General features: G+C 49.4%; 1 protein-coding gene across 4 annotated transcripts in view, besides 5 other annotated features; it reads right to left on the bottom strand.

Annotated features, from left to right (window-relative positions):
- Window positions 1-13,525, bottom strand: part of ATP2B4 (ATPase plasma membrane Ca2+ transporting 4) — a 117,250-nt gene extending 103,725 nt beyond the window's left edge. For 3 of the 4 annotated variants that reach the window (NM_001001396.3, NM_001684.5, NM_001365783.2), the window contains exon 1: window positions 13,138-13,525. The gene's annotated coding sequence lies outside the window, so the exon portion shown is untranslated. Of the gene's footprint in view, window positions 1-12,275; window positions 12,421-13,137 lie in introns of those variants that run through there. The other variant, NM_001365784.2, reaches the window with a different exon arrangement.
- Window positions 9,884-10,570: an enhancer, noted in NCBI's record as "H3K27ac-H3K4me1 hESC enhancer chr1:203598915-203599601 (GRCh37/hg19 assembly coordinates)". NCBI's record gives its function as "activates a minimal SCP1, AML or CMV promoter by ChIP-STARR-seq in primed H9 embryonic stem cells {active_cell/tissue: H9 hESC(primed)}" and the evidence as "EXISTENCE:reporter gene assay evidence [ECO:0000049][PMID:30033119]".
- Window positions 10,625-10,684: a silencer, noted in NCBI's record as "silent region_1723". NCBI's record gives its function as "represses an Ori minimal core promoter by ATAC-STARR-seq in GM12878 lymphoblastoid cells {active_cell/tissue: GM12878}" and the evidence as "EXISTENCE:reporter gene assay evidence [ECO:0000049][PMID:35858748]".
- Window positions 10,745-10,824: a silencer, noted in NCBI's record as "silent region_1722". NCBI's record gives its function as "represses an Ori minimal core promoter by ATAC-STARR-seq in GM12878 lymphoblastoid cells {active_cell/tissue: GM12878}" and the evidence as "EXISTENCE:reporter gene assay evidence [ECO:0000049][PMID:35858748]".
- Window positions 12,784-13,656: an enhancer, noted in NCBI's record as "NANOG-H3K27ac hESC enhancer chr1:203595829-203596701 (GRCh37/hg19 assembly coordinates)". NCBI's record gives its function as "activates a minimal SCP1, AML or CMV promoter by ChIP-STARR-seq in primed H9 embryonic stem cells {active_cell/tissue: H9 hESC(primed)}" and the evidence as "EXISTENCE:reporter gene assay evidence [ECO:0000049][PMID:30033119]".
- Window positions 13,657-14,531: an enhancer, noted in NCBI's record as "NANOG-H3K27ac hESC enhancer chr1:203594954-203595828 (GRCh37/hg19 assembly coordinates)". NCBI's record gives its function as "activates a minimal SCP1, AML or CMV promoter by ChIP-STARR-seq in primed H9 embryonic stem cells {active_cell/tissue: H9 hESC(primed)}" and the evidence as "EXISTENCE:reporter gene assay evidence [ECO:0000049][PMID:30033119]".

Genomic DNA, 16,997 nt, shown 5'->3' with positions numbered 1-16,997 from the left:
GATGGGAGTGAAACCCTGTCTCAAAAAAGGATGCAACAAGTGTTTTAGATCTTGATCTAAGCAAGGAGGGAGGATGCAGTGAGAGCAGGAGTGGGAACACACAGAGAACAGGAGGATGTTCTTGGGAGTGGGGTCAAGGGGTTGGGCAGTCAAGAGAAGGAACTGAGATGAAGAGTGGGGAATAGGAAGAGGGGGTCACCGGAATAATAAGCTTTACGTATATCTAGCACTTTAATGTTTATGGGATGCTTTTACCTACAATACCTTATTTGTCTGTCATAACACTCTATGGGGTAAGTAATGAAAGGCGATATTATACAAACTTTAAAGAGGGCAAAACTCAGGCTAGGTGCAGATGTGTACAGCATGTACCAACTGAAGCTAAATCCACTCCTTTATCCTTTATACCACATTGCCTCTGAAAATAGGGATTAAGAGGCTGAAATGAGAGGTAAAGACTGGAGGAGGAACTGGAGGGCTTCTCTGGAGAGGTATTGTTCTATTTCTCAGTACCATTTGGATTCCTCTGGGCATCCCAGCAACAGAACATCTCCACCCCATCAGAGGCAGAGGCTCCGGATATAAGCAGGGGATGGTAAAGTCAGGTAACACTGGGAGGCCAACCGAGCGGCTGAATAAACCAGGCTGGACCCACACCCAGCTTCGGCACCATGCCCTGGTCCAGGAGAAGGCTTTCTTCAGCAAAGGACAAGCGCAAGCCCTTTACCATTCAGGCCATGGTCTCACTGCTAACACCAGGGGCTGCCCTGCAATGATATCTAAGGCCCCTACCAGCTCAGTTGTGCGTCGGGTCTAGATCTTACCTCCCTGAAGTCAAGGGTTAAATGTGCTCTCCAGGGAAACAGATGCAAACTCCCTAGAGCACTACCAACAAGCGGGGCTTGCTGTGAGTCCCCAGGCTTGGGACAATCATCCCTGAGCTTAACATCAGTGATGCTGAGCCCTTCCTTTGCCTCCCGGATACCACTTCTTCCCAAACCCTTAACATAGTGCTTGGCATATGGTCTGTGCTCGCTTCATGTTTGTTGGATAAATAAATGGATAAGTGAACAAGCAAATGAATGACAGATTGGCTCTGGCAATCAAATCAGCCTGTGCTGTCACATTATGGTGGCCCCGCCCTCTTGACTCTTAGATCCCAAATCAGAGCTCAGCAGCCAACCTGACTTAGTCAGCTGCTAAGGAAGGATGGAGTTAATAGTGCTTCCCCTCCTTCCCCTCTGCACTTCCTCTGACCTTTTGGAGGAGGCACACCCTGAGGAAAGCGTAGGGCCAAGAATACCCCGGCAGGAGGAGATCTCTGCACACCTCTTCCCAGGACTTCTGCTTCCCCTCTCAATTACTCTGCCTCTCTCAGCTCAAGGCCCAGTGTGCGAGGAGGAGCCATGGAGGGGACTGTTAGGAGCTGCACGGTGATACGGGCAGTGCCAAATACTTCTTTGCATTTTCTGTGTGCTAATGACCTTAATTGTTAATAATAACAGCAACAGTAACAATCATGCCACCAGCACCTTTATGGTTTCTAGAATCTGTCTTCCAAACTGCTCCTAGCACATGACCTCACATCAACCTTGGAGGGACGGGGATAGTTCTCTCTGCCATGTGGGTAGAGACATTGGGAACCAGGGAAGTTTGGTGTTGATCTGGTCACACAGTGTTGCAGTGATGGGGTCGAGGTCCCAGTCTTGGAGTGGGGAGAACTAGGCTGTACCCCCACCTCTGCCTCAAACTAACCCAGTGTCTTTGGGCAAGTCTCGAGGTGCCAGTTCTCTGTCCATCTCAAATGCTCTGTCTCAGTAAAATGAGCCTGGTGACAAGCCCAAAGCCTGGTGACCGTCCTCCCCTGTACAAGGTCAGAAAGCTCCTGGAATGGATGCTTGCTGCTTGCTGTGCCTGTCCTTGCATCCTAACAGATGTCGTACGAGTGCTCCCCACAAAGAAGGCTGTAATATGGACAGCAGGGAGAAAACATCAAAAAATCATCCTAATGGTCCATAAGTGCCAGGAAAGCAGACAGGTGGCAGGCCGCTGCTGAGGCCAGATGCCATCCTGCCCACAGTACCGGTACTGGCTCAGACAAAGGCTGGAGGCCTTCCAGCGAGTGGGATCAGACAGCCTCCCTCACCTGCCAGAGTATCCGATTCTCCAGGATGCTCTGAGTGTCCTCAGTCGGGTGGTAGCAGCACACCCCTTCCTCCCCATCTCCCCTCCCCTCCTCCATCAAATCTGTCCTTTCTCTTTAAAATCCTGTTTGGCAATCACCTCCTCCATGAATAATTTCCAGTTGAGCCCTGCCAAATTCTAGTCTCCCCATTCCCACTAAGACCCCTTCAGCCCCCAGCCATCCTATTAGCAGTTACCAGCCATCACTAGGTCATGTGTCCCTGCACCAGATGAGATTTCAAGTGTGTGTTCCCGCTCTTGTATCCCACTAGACAGAGGATGAATAGGGCCAGTATTTCCATTTCCTCCTTTCTTAAATTTTCCTCCGTCTTCAGCTCCCAAGATAGGAAGCAGGGCATTTGGGACACAAGAAAAGCAGACTATAGATGGATGATACATTCCTCTCTACCTTGGGCAGCTTCCCTGGCCAGTTGCCAGGAAGGCTAATGCTAGAATCTCAACCAGAGTCCAAACAAGGGCTCTGCCAACATGTCTACCTCTAGGGCTGAAAGTCTGGATTGGCAAGGAGGGTAAGCTGGCCTAGCAGCTGGCAACTTTGCCTGAATTTCTAATCCAACCCACAGCTCAGATGAAAACCTAATCTCTGCAGCTCACAACACTGACTGTAATGCCACTGACATTATTCCAGTGTCGAATAATATTGTTAGGTGAGCTACATGAAATTGCCTTTGTAGGTCAAAAGTGGTTGTATATTGGCTTTTTTTTTTTTTTTTTTTGAGACAGAGTCTTGCTCTGTCACCCAGGCTGGAGTGCAGTGGTGCGATCTCGGCTCACTGCAGGCTCCGCCCCCCCCCGGGGGTTCACGCCATTCTCCTGCCTCAGCCTCCCCAGTAGCTGGGACTACAGGCGCCTGCCACCTCGCCCGGCTAATTTTTTCTATTTTTAGTAGAGACGGGGCTTCACCGTGTTAGCCAGGATGGTTTCAATCTCCTGACCTCGTGATCCGCCTGCCTCGGCCTTCCAAAGTGCTGGGATTACAGGCGTGAGCCACCGCACCCAGCCGTATATTGGCATTTTCATATGGTTCAATATAATAACTTTTGGGGGGATTATGTGCCCTAGGAAACTTTGTGAAAGTTTGAATTTCTCTACCTCTAGCTAATATTCCTTAGTTTCTGGCCTAGGACATAGCAGAATTACGGCCTTGGAAGGTACTTCCTAATTGAAGTTCCCGGCAGGTGGAGGTGGGAAATCTTAGAACCTGTTCTACTCCCAAACATCAATGGTGGCAGTTCAAAGCCATATGCTTTTTGGCCTCTTTTCCCCTGGTCATCCTGGGCAGAAGGATGGGACTTGGCTGCAAATTGTTACATTGTGCTAGACTCTATCTGTGATAAAAGAGTTTGGTTTGGGCATTGAGAGTTTTACTCCTTTGTCTTCTATAGAAGAGGAGGGTCTTGAATCAGGAATGTCTGTATGTCCAAACTTGGTTTCATGTAACAGTGCAGTTGATGAAGGCCCAGAGATATCCCCTGCTTCAATCAAGGTTACACAGCAGACAAGAGTCCAGATTACCAGTTTTCTGACTCCCAGTCCCGTGCTCTTCTGGCAAGCCTGGCAGCCCACTAGAACAAACTCCTCCCTGTCTGCCCCCTTCCAACTTCCTGGCTCCCGCTCTTTCAGGCTCCCTCACCAACACAGAAGGGGAATTGACTAAAGGATTAATAGCCGTCACCTACATGAGCCTACGTAAAAAGAGCCCTGAGTCATGTAGGGCCTAGCCCCAGGGTTTCCAGGAGAAGAGAGGGAGAAAAAGAGAGAGAGAAGCCATCCTGGAAACTCAATCTCTCTCCAGAGCGACGATCAGGATGGGGAGGCGGGGGTGGGTAGCACAATGATTTGGGTCAATGACAGGACAGCCAGGTGTGCTGCCCTTGCCAAGGGAGTGCCTAGAAGGCCTTGCTTAGCTCAGGCATGAAGGCTCCAGGCAGGCACTGCTTGCTGGTTTCTTTCAGAATCACCTAATTAGAGAATTCTAAGGGACACTAAAGGTTTGGTCAGCAACAATCTCTGGGCTGTTTGGTGAATTTCTTCTCTTACAGCCTGGGACCTGTCTCCTCAAAAGTTAGGTGGGTGACTCTGGAAGCCCTCAGTCCCCAGGTTCCCTCAGCTGGCCCCATGGCATGGTGGGAGAATGCCTGTCATCCTACCTCCCTTTGTGGCCCACTCATCAGGGCCCAGGTGCTCCTGTCTGGACAGGAGAGGCTGTGGGTGGGGAGCAGTGAGGGTGGGAAGGTAGGCTTCCTAAAGGACCTTACTTTCTTAGAAGATCCCTCTGTGTGCTCCATGGGGACTCTCAGCACCCAAGAGCTTAGAAAAGACACTCCTATTGGTCAGGAGTTTTGCAGATAAAGTGAGAAGAAACCAGGAATCTAGGAGTGCCTCTGGCATGGACTTCTCTCTCTGGCTAAGTATTTGGAAAAATTTCAAACCTGAAAGGTTGAAAAAAATAGCACAATAAACAACTGCAGACCCTTTACTTAGTTTCACCTTTTTTTTTTGAGACAGGGTCTCACTCTGTCAACAGGCTGGAGTATAGTTTCATGATCACGGCTCACTGCAGCCTCAAGTTATCCTCCTGCCTCAGCCTGCTGAGTAGCTAGGACTACAGACAGGTGCACAGCCTCCATGCCCAGCTAATTTTTTATTTTGTAGAGGTGGAGTCTTCCTATGTCATCCATCTCTACAAAAAAACAAAACAACAATAACAACAAAAAAATTAGCCAGCCATGGTGGCATGCACCTGCTCCAGTTACTTGGGAGGCTGAGGTCGGAGGATTGCTTGAACCTGGGAGTTTGAGGCTGCAGTGAGCTATGACTGCACCACTGCACCCCAGTCTGGGTGACAGAACAAGGCCCTGTTTCAAAAATAAATGGGGGCTGAGTGTGATAGCTCAAACCTGCAATCCCAGCACTTTGGGAGGCTGAGGAGGGTGGATCACCTGAGGTTGGGAGTTTGAGACCAGCCTGACCAACATGGAGAAACCTCGTCTCTACTAAAAATACAAAATTAGCCGGGTGTAGTGGTACATGCCTGTAATCCCAGCTACTCAGGAGGCTGAGGCAGGAGAATCGTTTGAAATCAGGAGGCGGAGGTTGCGGTGAGCTGAGTTTGCAGCATTGCACTCCAGCCTGGGCAACAAGAGCAAAACTCCATCTCAAAAAATAATAAATAAATAAATAAATGGGGCCGGGTGCGGTGGTTCATGCCTGTAATCCCCGCACTTTGGGAAGCTGAAGCAGGTGGATTGCTTGAGCCCAGGATTTCGAGCCCAATCTGGACAACACGGTGAAACCCCGTCTCTACAAAAAATATGAAAATTAGCCAGGCATGATAGCATGCGCCTGTAGTCCTAGGTACTTGGGAGGCTGAGGTGGGAGGATAGCTTGAGCCCAGGAGATCAAGGCTGCTGTGAGTTGTGATTGTGCCACTGCACTCCAGCTGGATGATAAAGCAAGACCCGGTCTCAAAAACAAACAAACAAACAAAGAGATGCATTTCTGTTGCTTAAGCCACCCAGTCTATGATGTTGTTTTAGCAGCCCAAACTAAGATATGCTAAGACCAATCTTTCACCCAGTGGTTTTAGTATCCATTAAACGCTAGACTAAATCAGCTATTATAGTAGAGGCTGCAAACTGGTCAATTTAAAGTTCCAGTCTGGCACTGTGTCTCACCCATTATCCTGGTGCTTTGGGAGGCTGAGGCAAGAGGATCGCTTGAGCCTAGGAGTTCAAGGCTATGGGCCACTGCACTCCAACATGGCTGACAGAGTGAGACCCTATCTCTAAAAATAGGTAGGTAAATAAAGATAATGTTGGCTAAAAGATGCAAAGTTTCAGTAGACAGAAGGAATGTTTCTGAGATTTACTGCACTACATGGTGACTATAGTTAATGTAATGCATGTTTCAGAATTGCTAAGAGAGATTTTAAATGTTTACACTACAAAAACAACGATAAATGTGTGAGGTGATGGATATGTTGATAGTTTGACTTAATCGTTCCGTAATGTATGCATATATCAAAACATCACATTACACCCCATACATATATGAAACTAGTATTTTTCTATTAAAATTAAATTTAAAAAAATTTTTTTTGAGACGGAGTTTCACTCTTCTTGCCCAGGCTGGAGTGCAATAGTGTGATCTTGGCTCACTGCAACCTCCGCCTCCCAGGTTCAAGCGATTCTCCTGCCTCAGCCTCCCGAGTAGCTGGGATTATAGGCATGCACTACCACGCCCGGCTAATTTTGTATTTTTAGTAGAGACGGGGTTTCTCCATATTGGTCAGGCTAGTCTAAAACTCCCGACCTCAGGTGATCTACCCACCTCAGCCTCACATAAAATTAAATTTAAAGAAAAATCTTGTCATTACTACTAGATTTTATTAGTTGGCATTTACTTTATTTATTTATTTATTTATTTATTTATTTATCTGATATGGAGTCTCGCTCTGTCTCCCACTGGAAGTGCAGTGGCACAATCTTGGCTTACTGCAACCTCTGCCTCCTGAGTTCAATCGATTTCCGGCTAATTTTTATATTTTTAGTAGAGACAGGGTTTCACCATGTTGGCCAGGCTGGTCTCAAACTCCTGACCTCAAGTAATCCACCTGCCTGGGCTTCCCAAAGTGCTGGGATTACAGGTATGAGCCACTGCGCCCAACTGGCATTTACTTTTTAATTTTTTGAGACTGAGTCTTGCTTTATCACCCATTCTAGAGTGCAGTGTCATGATCAGAGCTCATGGGAGCCTCAAACGCCTGGGCTCCAGCGATCCTCCTGCCCTGGCCTCCCAGTGTGGTAGGATTACAGAGTGAGGCCTTGTGTCTGGCCTCGTTGGCATTTCTGTTCAGAGTTTTCCCTCCCTGCTCCTCCCTGTCCATGTCAACTGTCAAAATAGACTCAAGGAATTTTTAATATTCAATGTGTTACAATCTATTACCATTATCCTTTGGAATGCTTAATGTGTTTCACCTCTGGTTGGCGGGAGACCCTTTAAGCCAGCTCCTGTGACAACATGTCATGACATGAGCATGCTCTAGTTTCTGGCACAACACAGTTCACTTATACTTTCCCAGTCTCAGACTTGAAATTAGTCATTTTTTCAAGGAGCACTGTTCCTTACAACCTCCCCCGTGGGAAGTTGTACTTAGAAATAAAAATCCAGGTACTAGGTGTGTTCCTTTCCACAGTCCTTTCAGTGGACAGACCCACAAGATATACAAAAAAACCCCGAAAGATTCTTTTTCCCCTTCCCCCATTCCATACTTATATCTCTCTTTTTCCATAGTGAGACCCTGATTTCCAGAAATATCACCATAGTTACTCATTTCATCTATCATACAATAAACGAAACAGTTTCCAATTTATGACACAAATACCACAACCAATAACATGTCTACAAAGTAAAGGTCAAGATTTCTTTGTAGGTGGTTTTTTTTTTTTTTTTTACTTAAAATATGAATATAGAATCAGGGAATGAAGGTTAAAAAGTACTTAAATTAGGCCAGGCGTGGTGGCTCACGCCTGTAATCCCAGCACTTTGGGAGGCTGAGGTGGGCGGATCATGAGGTCGGGAGATCGAAACCATCCTGGCTAACATGGTGAAACCCTGTCTCTACTAAAAATACAAAAAATTAGCCGGGCGTGGTGGCAGGCGCCTGTAGTCCCAGCTACTCAGGAAGATAAGGCAGGAGAATGGCGTGAACCCGGGCGGCAGAGCTTGCAGTGAGCCGAGATCCCACCACCGCACTCCAGCCTGGGCAACAGAGCGAGACTCTGTCTCAAAAAAAAAAAAATTTCTTACTTCTCCTGCTTTCTTATCCCAAAGGTGGCATACTATATACTGTACTATGTCTTGGTTTTTTCACTTAATAATATATCCTAACAATCATGTCATATAAGTTCACAGGGCTCCTAGTCATTCTTTTTTTTTTCTTTTTGGCTACCTAGGATTCTATTGTATGGACTGTACCATTGTTTGTTTAACCATTTTTTAAAGAATGGGCATTTGGATAGTTTCCAATGATTTCCTATTGTAAATATGCCTTTAAAAACCACCTTGTGGCTGGGCTTGGTGGCTCACACCTATAATCCCAGCTCAGGCAGGTAGATTGCCTGAGCTCAGGAGTTTGAGACCAGCCTGGGCAACACGGTGAAACCCCATCTCTATTAAAATACAAAAAATTAGCCGGTGTGGTGGCTAGCACTTGTAATCCCAGCTACTCACGAGGCTGAGACAGGAGAATTGCTTGAACCCGGAAGGCAGAGCTTACAGTGAGCTGAGATCGCGCCGCTGCACTCCAGCCTGGGCGACAGAGCGAGACTCTGTCTCAAAAAACAAACAAACAAACAAACAAAAATCACCTTGTACGTAGCTTTCCATATTTGTGAATGAGCACCTTCTGGATAAATTCCTAGACGTAGGATTGCTGGGTAAATGTGTACGTAGCTTTGTTAGATATTGCTAACTTCCCGGGCTCAATACTAACAGCCCGTCTTACCCCTGGGACTCCCAGCGCCCAGCACGGAGCCTGGGATGTTAGATGGGCTGTTAGTATTGAGGGTATACTACTTGTTTGTATTCCTGGCATTGATTTCGCAACCTAGGTAGACCTTGCCATGAGGTGTTCTAAGCTAAGACTTTCCTTGAACCTAGCTGAGAGTCCCTGACCTTCCTACCAATAAACGCACTGCTCCAAACTCCCTTTGCCACACCCCAAGTGAAGTGGCAGAAAGGCAAGAGGAAGGGGGTCTTAGTAATCCCATCCCAGTTCATCTTCCCTGAGTTGTCCCAGGGATTTGTGCATGAAACTTGGGAAACTAGAGCAGAGGTGAGTAATGAGGCTGAGGATCTTAGGCAGAGAGGAACTGGGGTGAGGAAAGGTAGAAATGGGGGCTCTGCCCCTTGGCACCTATGTTCTCAATCCTTTCCTTTCCTTTGGCCTCTCCACTATCCTTCACACATAGACTGCCTCTCAAGCCTCTTCCCTGACCCAGAGCCCTTGGCTCTGGTCCTCACTAGATCCTGCCTGGTTTCCCTCCTCAACTCAAGTTCATGTAGGCTGAACACAGAGGACTGGCTTAAGGTAGAGGCAGAAATAGAAAGTCCCTGTCATTTCTGTTTTAACATGTACAGAGGAAATAAGTCAGTGGAACAAGAATGGCTCACACAAGGGAAAGAGGAAAGAGGACACAAGGAGAGATACTGGCAGAGGAAGCCAAGGGCAAAACATTCCACACAAGCATTTTGGACTCCAGCCCCAGGGCCTGCTCTAATCCTATGACCTGCAGAAAAGGGGACATGAGTGGAGAAAGGTTGTCATCCCAGTCTGACAAGGCAGAGGCCTTGCTTTTCTCATCCCTCTTTCCTTCTCACCCCTACCCACCAAATACCCACTGGGATGACAGGAATCAATGCTTATCTGAGAAGCAGGGAACTGGGCTGGGTAGGGAGCCTTGTCTGAGGGGCGCCCTTCGGGGGAAGAATTCAGATTGCCTGAAGAATCCTTCCAGAGAAGGATAGTTAAGACTCTGGGTGGGGTGTTCCCCTTCAAGGTCAAACACTTGGAGCTAATCTAACCTAAGCCAAACAGTTTTTTAGGGGTTTGGCTAACGGGGTTTGTCTTGGTCATTCTGGGGACTAAGAATGAACAAGATCCTTTTCTCTCTCCAAGGCTTAGTGGGTCTGCAATGCTCTGTCCTAGTGGATAGGGCTAATCCATGTCTTTGGGTGCTGGGTCCAAGGCCAGGAGCATTGAAAAAAAAAAAAAAAAAAGAGAGAGAGAGAGAGAGAGAGAAAAGGGGTTTCGGAGTTTTTGAGAGAAGCTAAATTCTTGAATAAGGGGCAGTTTCCGGTGGAAGGCTTGACCTGCTGACAGGTGGCAGGGAGCAGCCCAGACCCCGTTCCTCTCGGGACCTCCGGTTAGTGGGAGTGGGGAAGAGTAAAGCCTCCCGATATCCTGGCCCAGGACATCCAGCCCCTACACATCACCTTACCTCTTCCAGCCCCCACACCTTCGGCAAATTCTAACTGCTCTCCTTCTGCCCCTAACTGGGCCCTCTCATTTTGATTTTCTTCTGACAAAGACCACAGCAGTGTGACAAATCTGCCTAGCCACGCCCTGTCACCTCTACCGTGGAGAGCAGGCTTTCCATTGTGCAGAGGGGAAACTGGAGGCCAGACGGCGGGTTAGGAACTCGCTGGCGTCAGGCTGATTCCAAGGCCCCCAAACTGCCCGTGCTTCTCTCAACATGCCTTGACCCAGCGCTCTAACATCCCAGGCTCCGTGCTGGGCGCTGGGAGTCCCAGGGGTAAGACGGGCTGTGCTCCTTTGACTTGACCTTGAATCTAGAGACTTGGTGGTAAATGGAAGGGAGAAGGGTCTGAGGCTCGGCACAACCTGGGAGGCAGGAAGCCTCCGTTCGCCGCTCGGTTCGCATTCTCCACGGAGTTCTCAGACTACAGCAGAGCCCGGGAGGGTGGAGCCCAGCGGCGGAGAGGCTGGCGGGGCGGGGTCGCAGAGGCCGCGGAGAGCACAGGGGCCGCAGGGTTGCGCAGTCAATCCTGCCCCGAGCCCCGGGGGAAGGGCTGAGACTGCGGGAGCCGATTACCCCTTTGGCCGCGACCCCGGGCTCAGGCGACCCGGTGCGCGCTAAATAACGACCTCACGGAGAAGCCGTCCCCGAGCCCACCAACATCGACCCCTAATCAGATTACTGAAAATAGGAAGGCCGGCTGCAGGAATAGCTGCACTCTGAGCCTCCACGATGGGAGGCCGCGGCGAAAGCGGCGTGATTTTCGAGGTTGCACCTCAGCAAGATGGTGGCAGGGAGGATGGGACTCCCGAGGAGGAGTATAGAAATGGATCCCCTCCCTCCAGAACACGGGCATTAATTCTGTCTTGGGGGCCCTGCCCACTGGGGAAGGCCTCATTCCCTTCTCGAGCAGAACACAGGTAGGGAAGAGCTGTCTAGCCGAGGGGTGCAGTCAGATCAATCAACACCTCAAAGTGAAAATCAAATCGTTCCTGTTGCATCCCCAGCCCCGAGATGAGCTCTCCTCTAAGTGTTTTACTTCCTTCTCCCGCAGTGTCTCAGCTGTAGCCTTTACCACTCCTCCAAGCCCTGGGGCTGAAGGCAGGTGTTTCCTCTCCCCCAGCCTGATTCCCACAGATTTGTCTGCTTCAGGGTTTAGGGCCCACCTTCCAGAACACGCCTTACCAAGCTGCCACCATCCTTCCTGCCCCTCCCAGAGTCTGCTCCCCAAGCCACCACCCTCAGCCAAGGAGGGTAACTCAGCACATGGGCTAGGAGGCCTCTTCCACTCCCCTTCTTCCTAAACACTCCTGGCCCAGCCCCTCGTCACTCCCAGGCTGCTTTCCTGGGCCTGGCCCAGCCTGGAATGAGCCTGGTCTCCTTCCTCCAGGTAGAGGGCTCAGAGTGGAGGGGGCGTAGTAGGGCCTCCAATGGGAAGCGCGTGGAGAAGGGGCAGCTTGGGGAGGGGCTTAAGGAGCAGGGCCAGGGTCTCTAGACTCCCTGCCAGACTCCTCACACAGAGGAGGGGGGCGCTGCAGAATGGGATTTTGTTTCCCTTCCCTCCCCCACTCCTTTCCCCTCTCCACAGGGGCCTCAGTTGAGTACCGGCCTATTTCTTCATCTGACATTCCCCCTGCCCGGCCAGCAGGCGCCGGCATCACGTCTGCAAGTTATTGTTAAGTCCGGCAGGAATGCCCAGGAGGGACGTGCCTCTGGCAGCAGAGTGCCCACTCCCCTCCCAAGATGCGGCTGGCCACTCCTGCACCCTCCACACCCAGTTGGAGAAGAGCGGCGGGTACCCTCAGGGAGGTGGAGGAGTGTAAGAGGCCAGACTCGACTCGGGGAAGGATGCCAGCAGCCCCCTCTACCAAGAGCGAGCCAAGTATGTAAAAGAAAGAGAGAAGGGAGAGCAGGAAGGACAATCCCAGTCTTAATTCCTAGCTCTTCAGCAAGCCAAGGCAGTGGCCCGAGACGCTCAGGGATCCTTCCACAGATGCCTGTGGCCCACCCCATCTGCCAAACACTCACCAGCCCCACAGTGTCCAGCCTCGACATCGGAAACTTTTCAATTCACCCTTCTCCTTCCTCCCCTTTGGGACCAGAGATGTGTGGGGCGGTGCCCTCGGAGACACTCATACAGTTGGTTCTGGACGCTCACACACACTCAAACAACAGCGGTACGAGGTAACTCCCAGCTTTTTCCACAGCTAATTATACATGTGAAAGTCTGAGGATGTTTTGCAAGCAGCACAGAGAAACTGCTGAGGTTTCTCTGCAAAGCTAAAGAAATTTAATTCGTGCACTCTCCTTCCCCACTCCTGCCAACTTCTCCCAGCCCACCTCCACCCCATGGCCCCAAAGTGCCCCTCTCCTAGTTCCCGCTGCAGCCCCTCTTTCTGCTGAAGATTTCTTTGGTTCCTTTTTTTTTTTTTTTTCCATCTCTCTTTTGGGCTTTCGAGAAAGGGAACAGACACGGAAAATATTTTTGCAACAGTTTTCCATCCTGCGTCTCATTCCCAAGCCAAGGGGGGAAGGGGAGGGCAGGAACGGAATGGGTTGAGGGAGGGGAGATAAATATTTTTTCCAAGAGCTCAATTTTGGTGTCAAAAAGAGAACCCTCCATTACCCTACCCCATAGCCCAGGAATGACAAGAACTAGGAAAAGAGAGATAAATCACTTGTTCGACTATATGGTTTCTCAGAACTGATAATAGGTAAAACAGTATTTGACAAATCTGTGCACACACACATATTTTAAAAAAAATCCTCCAAACCCAGTCGCATGAAATATTCTAGAAAGAGGAAAATCGGGGAGTTTTAGAAGCCATTGAGAGAAAAGAAAGAAACAAAGTTTGCAAATCACAAGTCAATTCATTCTCTGCAAGCCTACCTCTCTTTCTAGCAAAGATCCAGGTTTCTTCAGGCGGGACTCTCCCTCCGGGTTTCCATGGATGAGGGTAGGGTGGGGTGACCACCCACCAGTCTCCCCAGTGTGGCAACCAAGCTAGAGACGCTGGCTTTGCTCTCTTGCCTTTCTGGCTAAGGCCGGGGAGTGGGCTGGGTCTCCTCCCCCTGCCCCTCCAATGGGAAGGACCTCTCAGGTTCCTGAAAGAAAAAGGGTGCAGGAGAGCTGGGCGGGTGTCTCTGATCTTGCTCTCTTCGGAGGGATGGTGCCCCACGAAGTTCGTGCCCCCCCTCCCAGCCCCCAGCTTTGGACGATCTCAACAGCAGAGCTTTCTTAAGAAAATGCTTGTCATGGCAACAGCTCTAGCTAACTCGGGCCAGACTCTTGCTCACCAGCTCTCCCCAAGCAGTGCGGGAAGAGAGAGGGGAGGAGCAGGAGCTGGAACAGAGGTGGGACTTGGCGCGAGGCCAAACCATTACTCTACTGTTAAGGTGGCCCGATTCTTGCGGTTACTTCCTGGTTCGTCTTAAGGGGGAATGGGAAAAGAAAGGGAAGCAATCCTCTCCCCTGTCGGCTTTCTTCCCCGCCCTTGCTCTCACTTGTTGAATAGAAAGCTGAGTAGGGGTGGAGGAGGGGTGAGGGTGGAGGTGGGGAGTGGATGTGGGTGGCGGTATTCAACGGTTGCTGGGCGGAGGGGAAAAAAAAGGAAGCTTGGGCAGGCGGCTGGCTTCCTGCAGCTCCTACGGGCCTCTCAACCCCTTACTCACTTAGATCCAGGACCCAGAAACCCGAGGTGTCTGTGGACACTTGTATGTCCCCTCCTACCTTCCTGCTCCTGTCTGAATAGGGGGTTCCTTGGAGAAGGAGAATAAATTGTTTTGTAAACACACACACACACACACACACACACACACACACACACACACACACACCCGTCCTCCCCTACACCTTATATACAGGTCACATTTTGTTCCCTCTTGTCCCTGTACCCACCAGAGGTATACTGACAGTGCATGAAAATAGCTGCTTACTTTTGAGTCCTGCTATGCGTGGGCTATGACACCAAAAGCTTTGTCTATATGGTATCGTTTCTAGTCCTCATTTAATCTTGAAAGGTACTTATTATTAACCTCATTTCCTAGTTGAGGGAATTGAAGATTGAGTGTCTGGCCCAAGGTTATACATCCGGCTAATGACAGAGCCAACGATTCAAGACCAAGTCAGACAGACTCCAAAGCCCGAGTACTTTCCTGTACTTTGTATCATACTCCGGCACATATTTCCGTTTTAATTTGCACACACTCAGACATCCATGCACACTTATACACAGCCTGTAAACAGTTAATCACACCCCCATACCCACACACCCACTAGCATTGTGCAACAGTGCCACCCATAGATTTTGCATAGAACTTTATGGCTTTCAAGCACAAACATGCACCATCAGCTGGTTCACACAACATATCTTCATTGACTGACAGATTCCCACACCTACCTCAGCAAACACACTCATGTTTATATGCTTATGGAAGGCACATTGACATATGTCTCACAGGTTATAGCTATGAGCTATGCTGTGAAGAAGGTGACTGGCCACTACTTCCCAACCTTTTAAACAGAGGGTTGGGAAAAGGCCTCTTTGATCCTATCATTCTAACCCAACAGCTCACACCACCCCCTGTCCTTCTTTGCTGTCATCTCTGCCCCCAAGAAGCAGAGCCACATGTGCATGGAGAAACAGGGTTGTGAAACGGGGTCCAGTTTCCCCCGTGTCCAACTAGCACCCTTCCCAATGTTCTCTCATTTGGGTCCTCTTTTTCCTCTTCATTTTCTTACCCTGCTATTTCTTTTTTCTTTATGGTTTTTTTTTTTTTTTTTGAGACGGAGTCTTGCTCTGTTGCCCAGGCTGGAGTGCAGTGGCGTGATCTCGGCTCACTGCAAGCTCCGCCTCCGGGGTTCACGCCATTCTCCTGCCTCAGCCTCCCGAGTAGCTGGGACTACAGGCCCCTGCCACCACGCCCGGCTAATTTTGTTTTTGTATTTTTAGTAGAGACGGGGTTTCACCATGTTAGCCAGAATGGTCTCGATCTCCTGACCTCATGATCTGCCCGCCTCGGCCTCCCAAAGTGCTGGGATTACAGGCGTGAGCCCCCGCACCCGGCCAGTAATGTTTTTAGACTGGTTGGGCTGGGCTCAGAACTCAGAGTTCATCAATGTGAGGCTGGAGATTGCCTGCTGTCATCTGAAAACAAAATCCAAAATAAGCCCTGGCTAGGCACAGTGGCTCATCCGTGTAATTCCAGTACTTTGGGAGGCTGAGGAGGGAGGATCACTTGGGGCCAGATTTCAAGACCAGCCTGGGCAACATAGCAAGACCCACCCCATCTCTACAAAAAAATTAAAAACAAGAGAAAAAAAATAAGCCCCTGCCTGTGCTTGTGCCTCTCCCTGCCAGCAGCCGAAGAAAGTTGCAGGGGTAAGGGGAGATTTTAGGGTCACCCTCTATGGGAACTATGGATTGTTTGGTCTTTTTTGTCTAGTGATTGACTGTCTGACACTCAAGGCACTTACAGGACACTAAAGGTGACCTTTGTTCTCATTTCAGCCTCTTGCAACTCCTCTAGTCACTCCCACCTTCCCAGGGCATTTCAAGAACAGTTAGTACCTTGTTAGATTCCTTCCTTCCTCCCTCCCTCTTCCCTCCCTCTTCCATTCCCTCCCTCTTCCCTTCCCTCCCTCTTCCCTTCCCTCCTTTTTCCCTCCCCTTCCCTCCTTTTCCCTCCCCTTCCCTTCCCTTCCCTTCCTTTCTCCCTTTCTTTCCCCTTCCTTCCTTCCATCTCCCTTCCTTCCTTCCCTCCCTCTACCTTCCTTCCTTCCTCCCTCCCTCTTTCTTTCTTTCTTTCTTTCTTTCTTTCTTTCTTTCTTTCTTTCTTTCTTTCTTTCTTTCTTTCCTTCCTTCCTTCCTTCCTTCCTTCTTTCTTTCTTTCTTTCTCTCTTTCTTTCTCTTTCTTTCTTTTTCTCTTCCTTTTTTCCGTCCTTCCTTCCTCTCTTCCTTCCTCCCTCCCTTCCCTCCTCCCTTTCCTTCCTTCCTTCCTTCTTCCTTCCTTCTTTTTTTTCATTATGGGTCTCCCTGTGTTGCCCAAGTTGCTTTTAAACTCCTGACCTCAAGTGATCCTCTCGCCTCAGCCTTCCTAGAAACTGGGACTACGGGCACACCCTACAATGCACAGCACCCTTGTTAGATTTTGGTAGACCCTAGCAAAATATCAGCTTCAGGAGCCCAAATCAATTGTTGGGGAAGACATGAGAAAGAAAGGAAAAGAAATGAATCAGCTTAACAGAGCTGCAGATTTAATGGCTTGTCAGGCTCCCTGCTGGATGGCAACAACATGACATTTTAGCACCAATGAGTGTCAGTTGCATCTTTATCATAAGAAAGCCAGTCTCTGAAATGACTGTTTAAATGTATTAAAGTATATTTTAAGCTCGTCTGCAGTGGCTGTGTGTGGAGGCATTGCCTAACTGTTCAGTAAACTTGTCTTGGGGGAATGACAATTTAGGCCAGATGTATGGTCCCAATAAAGAAGAAGTCTGCTTTGGCTGCCTGTTTTGTGGGGACTGGGAAATGATACCCTTTCATAGCTGGTTATTATTGGAAAGGTAAGATCTTCCCCTCAAGCTCCCTGGATTCCAGGGAGACAGGCTCTGCCAGGGAGGTGCTGTCAAAAGAGGCTCTGATGGCTGTCCCACATCTGGCTGGCTAGGATTCAGGGGCAGGCCAGGTTTATGACTTCCAGGGTGGCTGTAGATCCTCCCCTTGACCGGCTGTGGGGTTGTGGGATGAG

Source organism: Homo sapiens, chromosome 1 (genome assembly GCF_000001405.40).
Source record: "Homo sapiens chromosome 1, GRCh38.p14 Primary Assembly".
NCBI lineage: Eukaryota > Metazoa > Chordata > Mammalia > Primates > Hominidae > Homo > Homo sapiens.
This window is presented reverse-complemented; position numbering and strand designations above follow the sequence as displayed.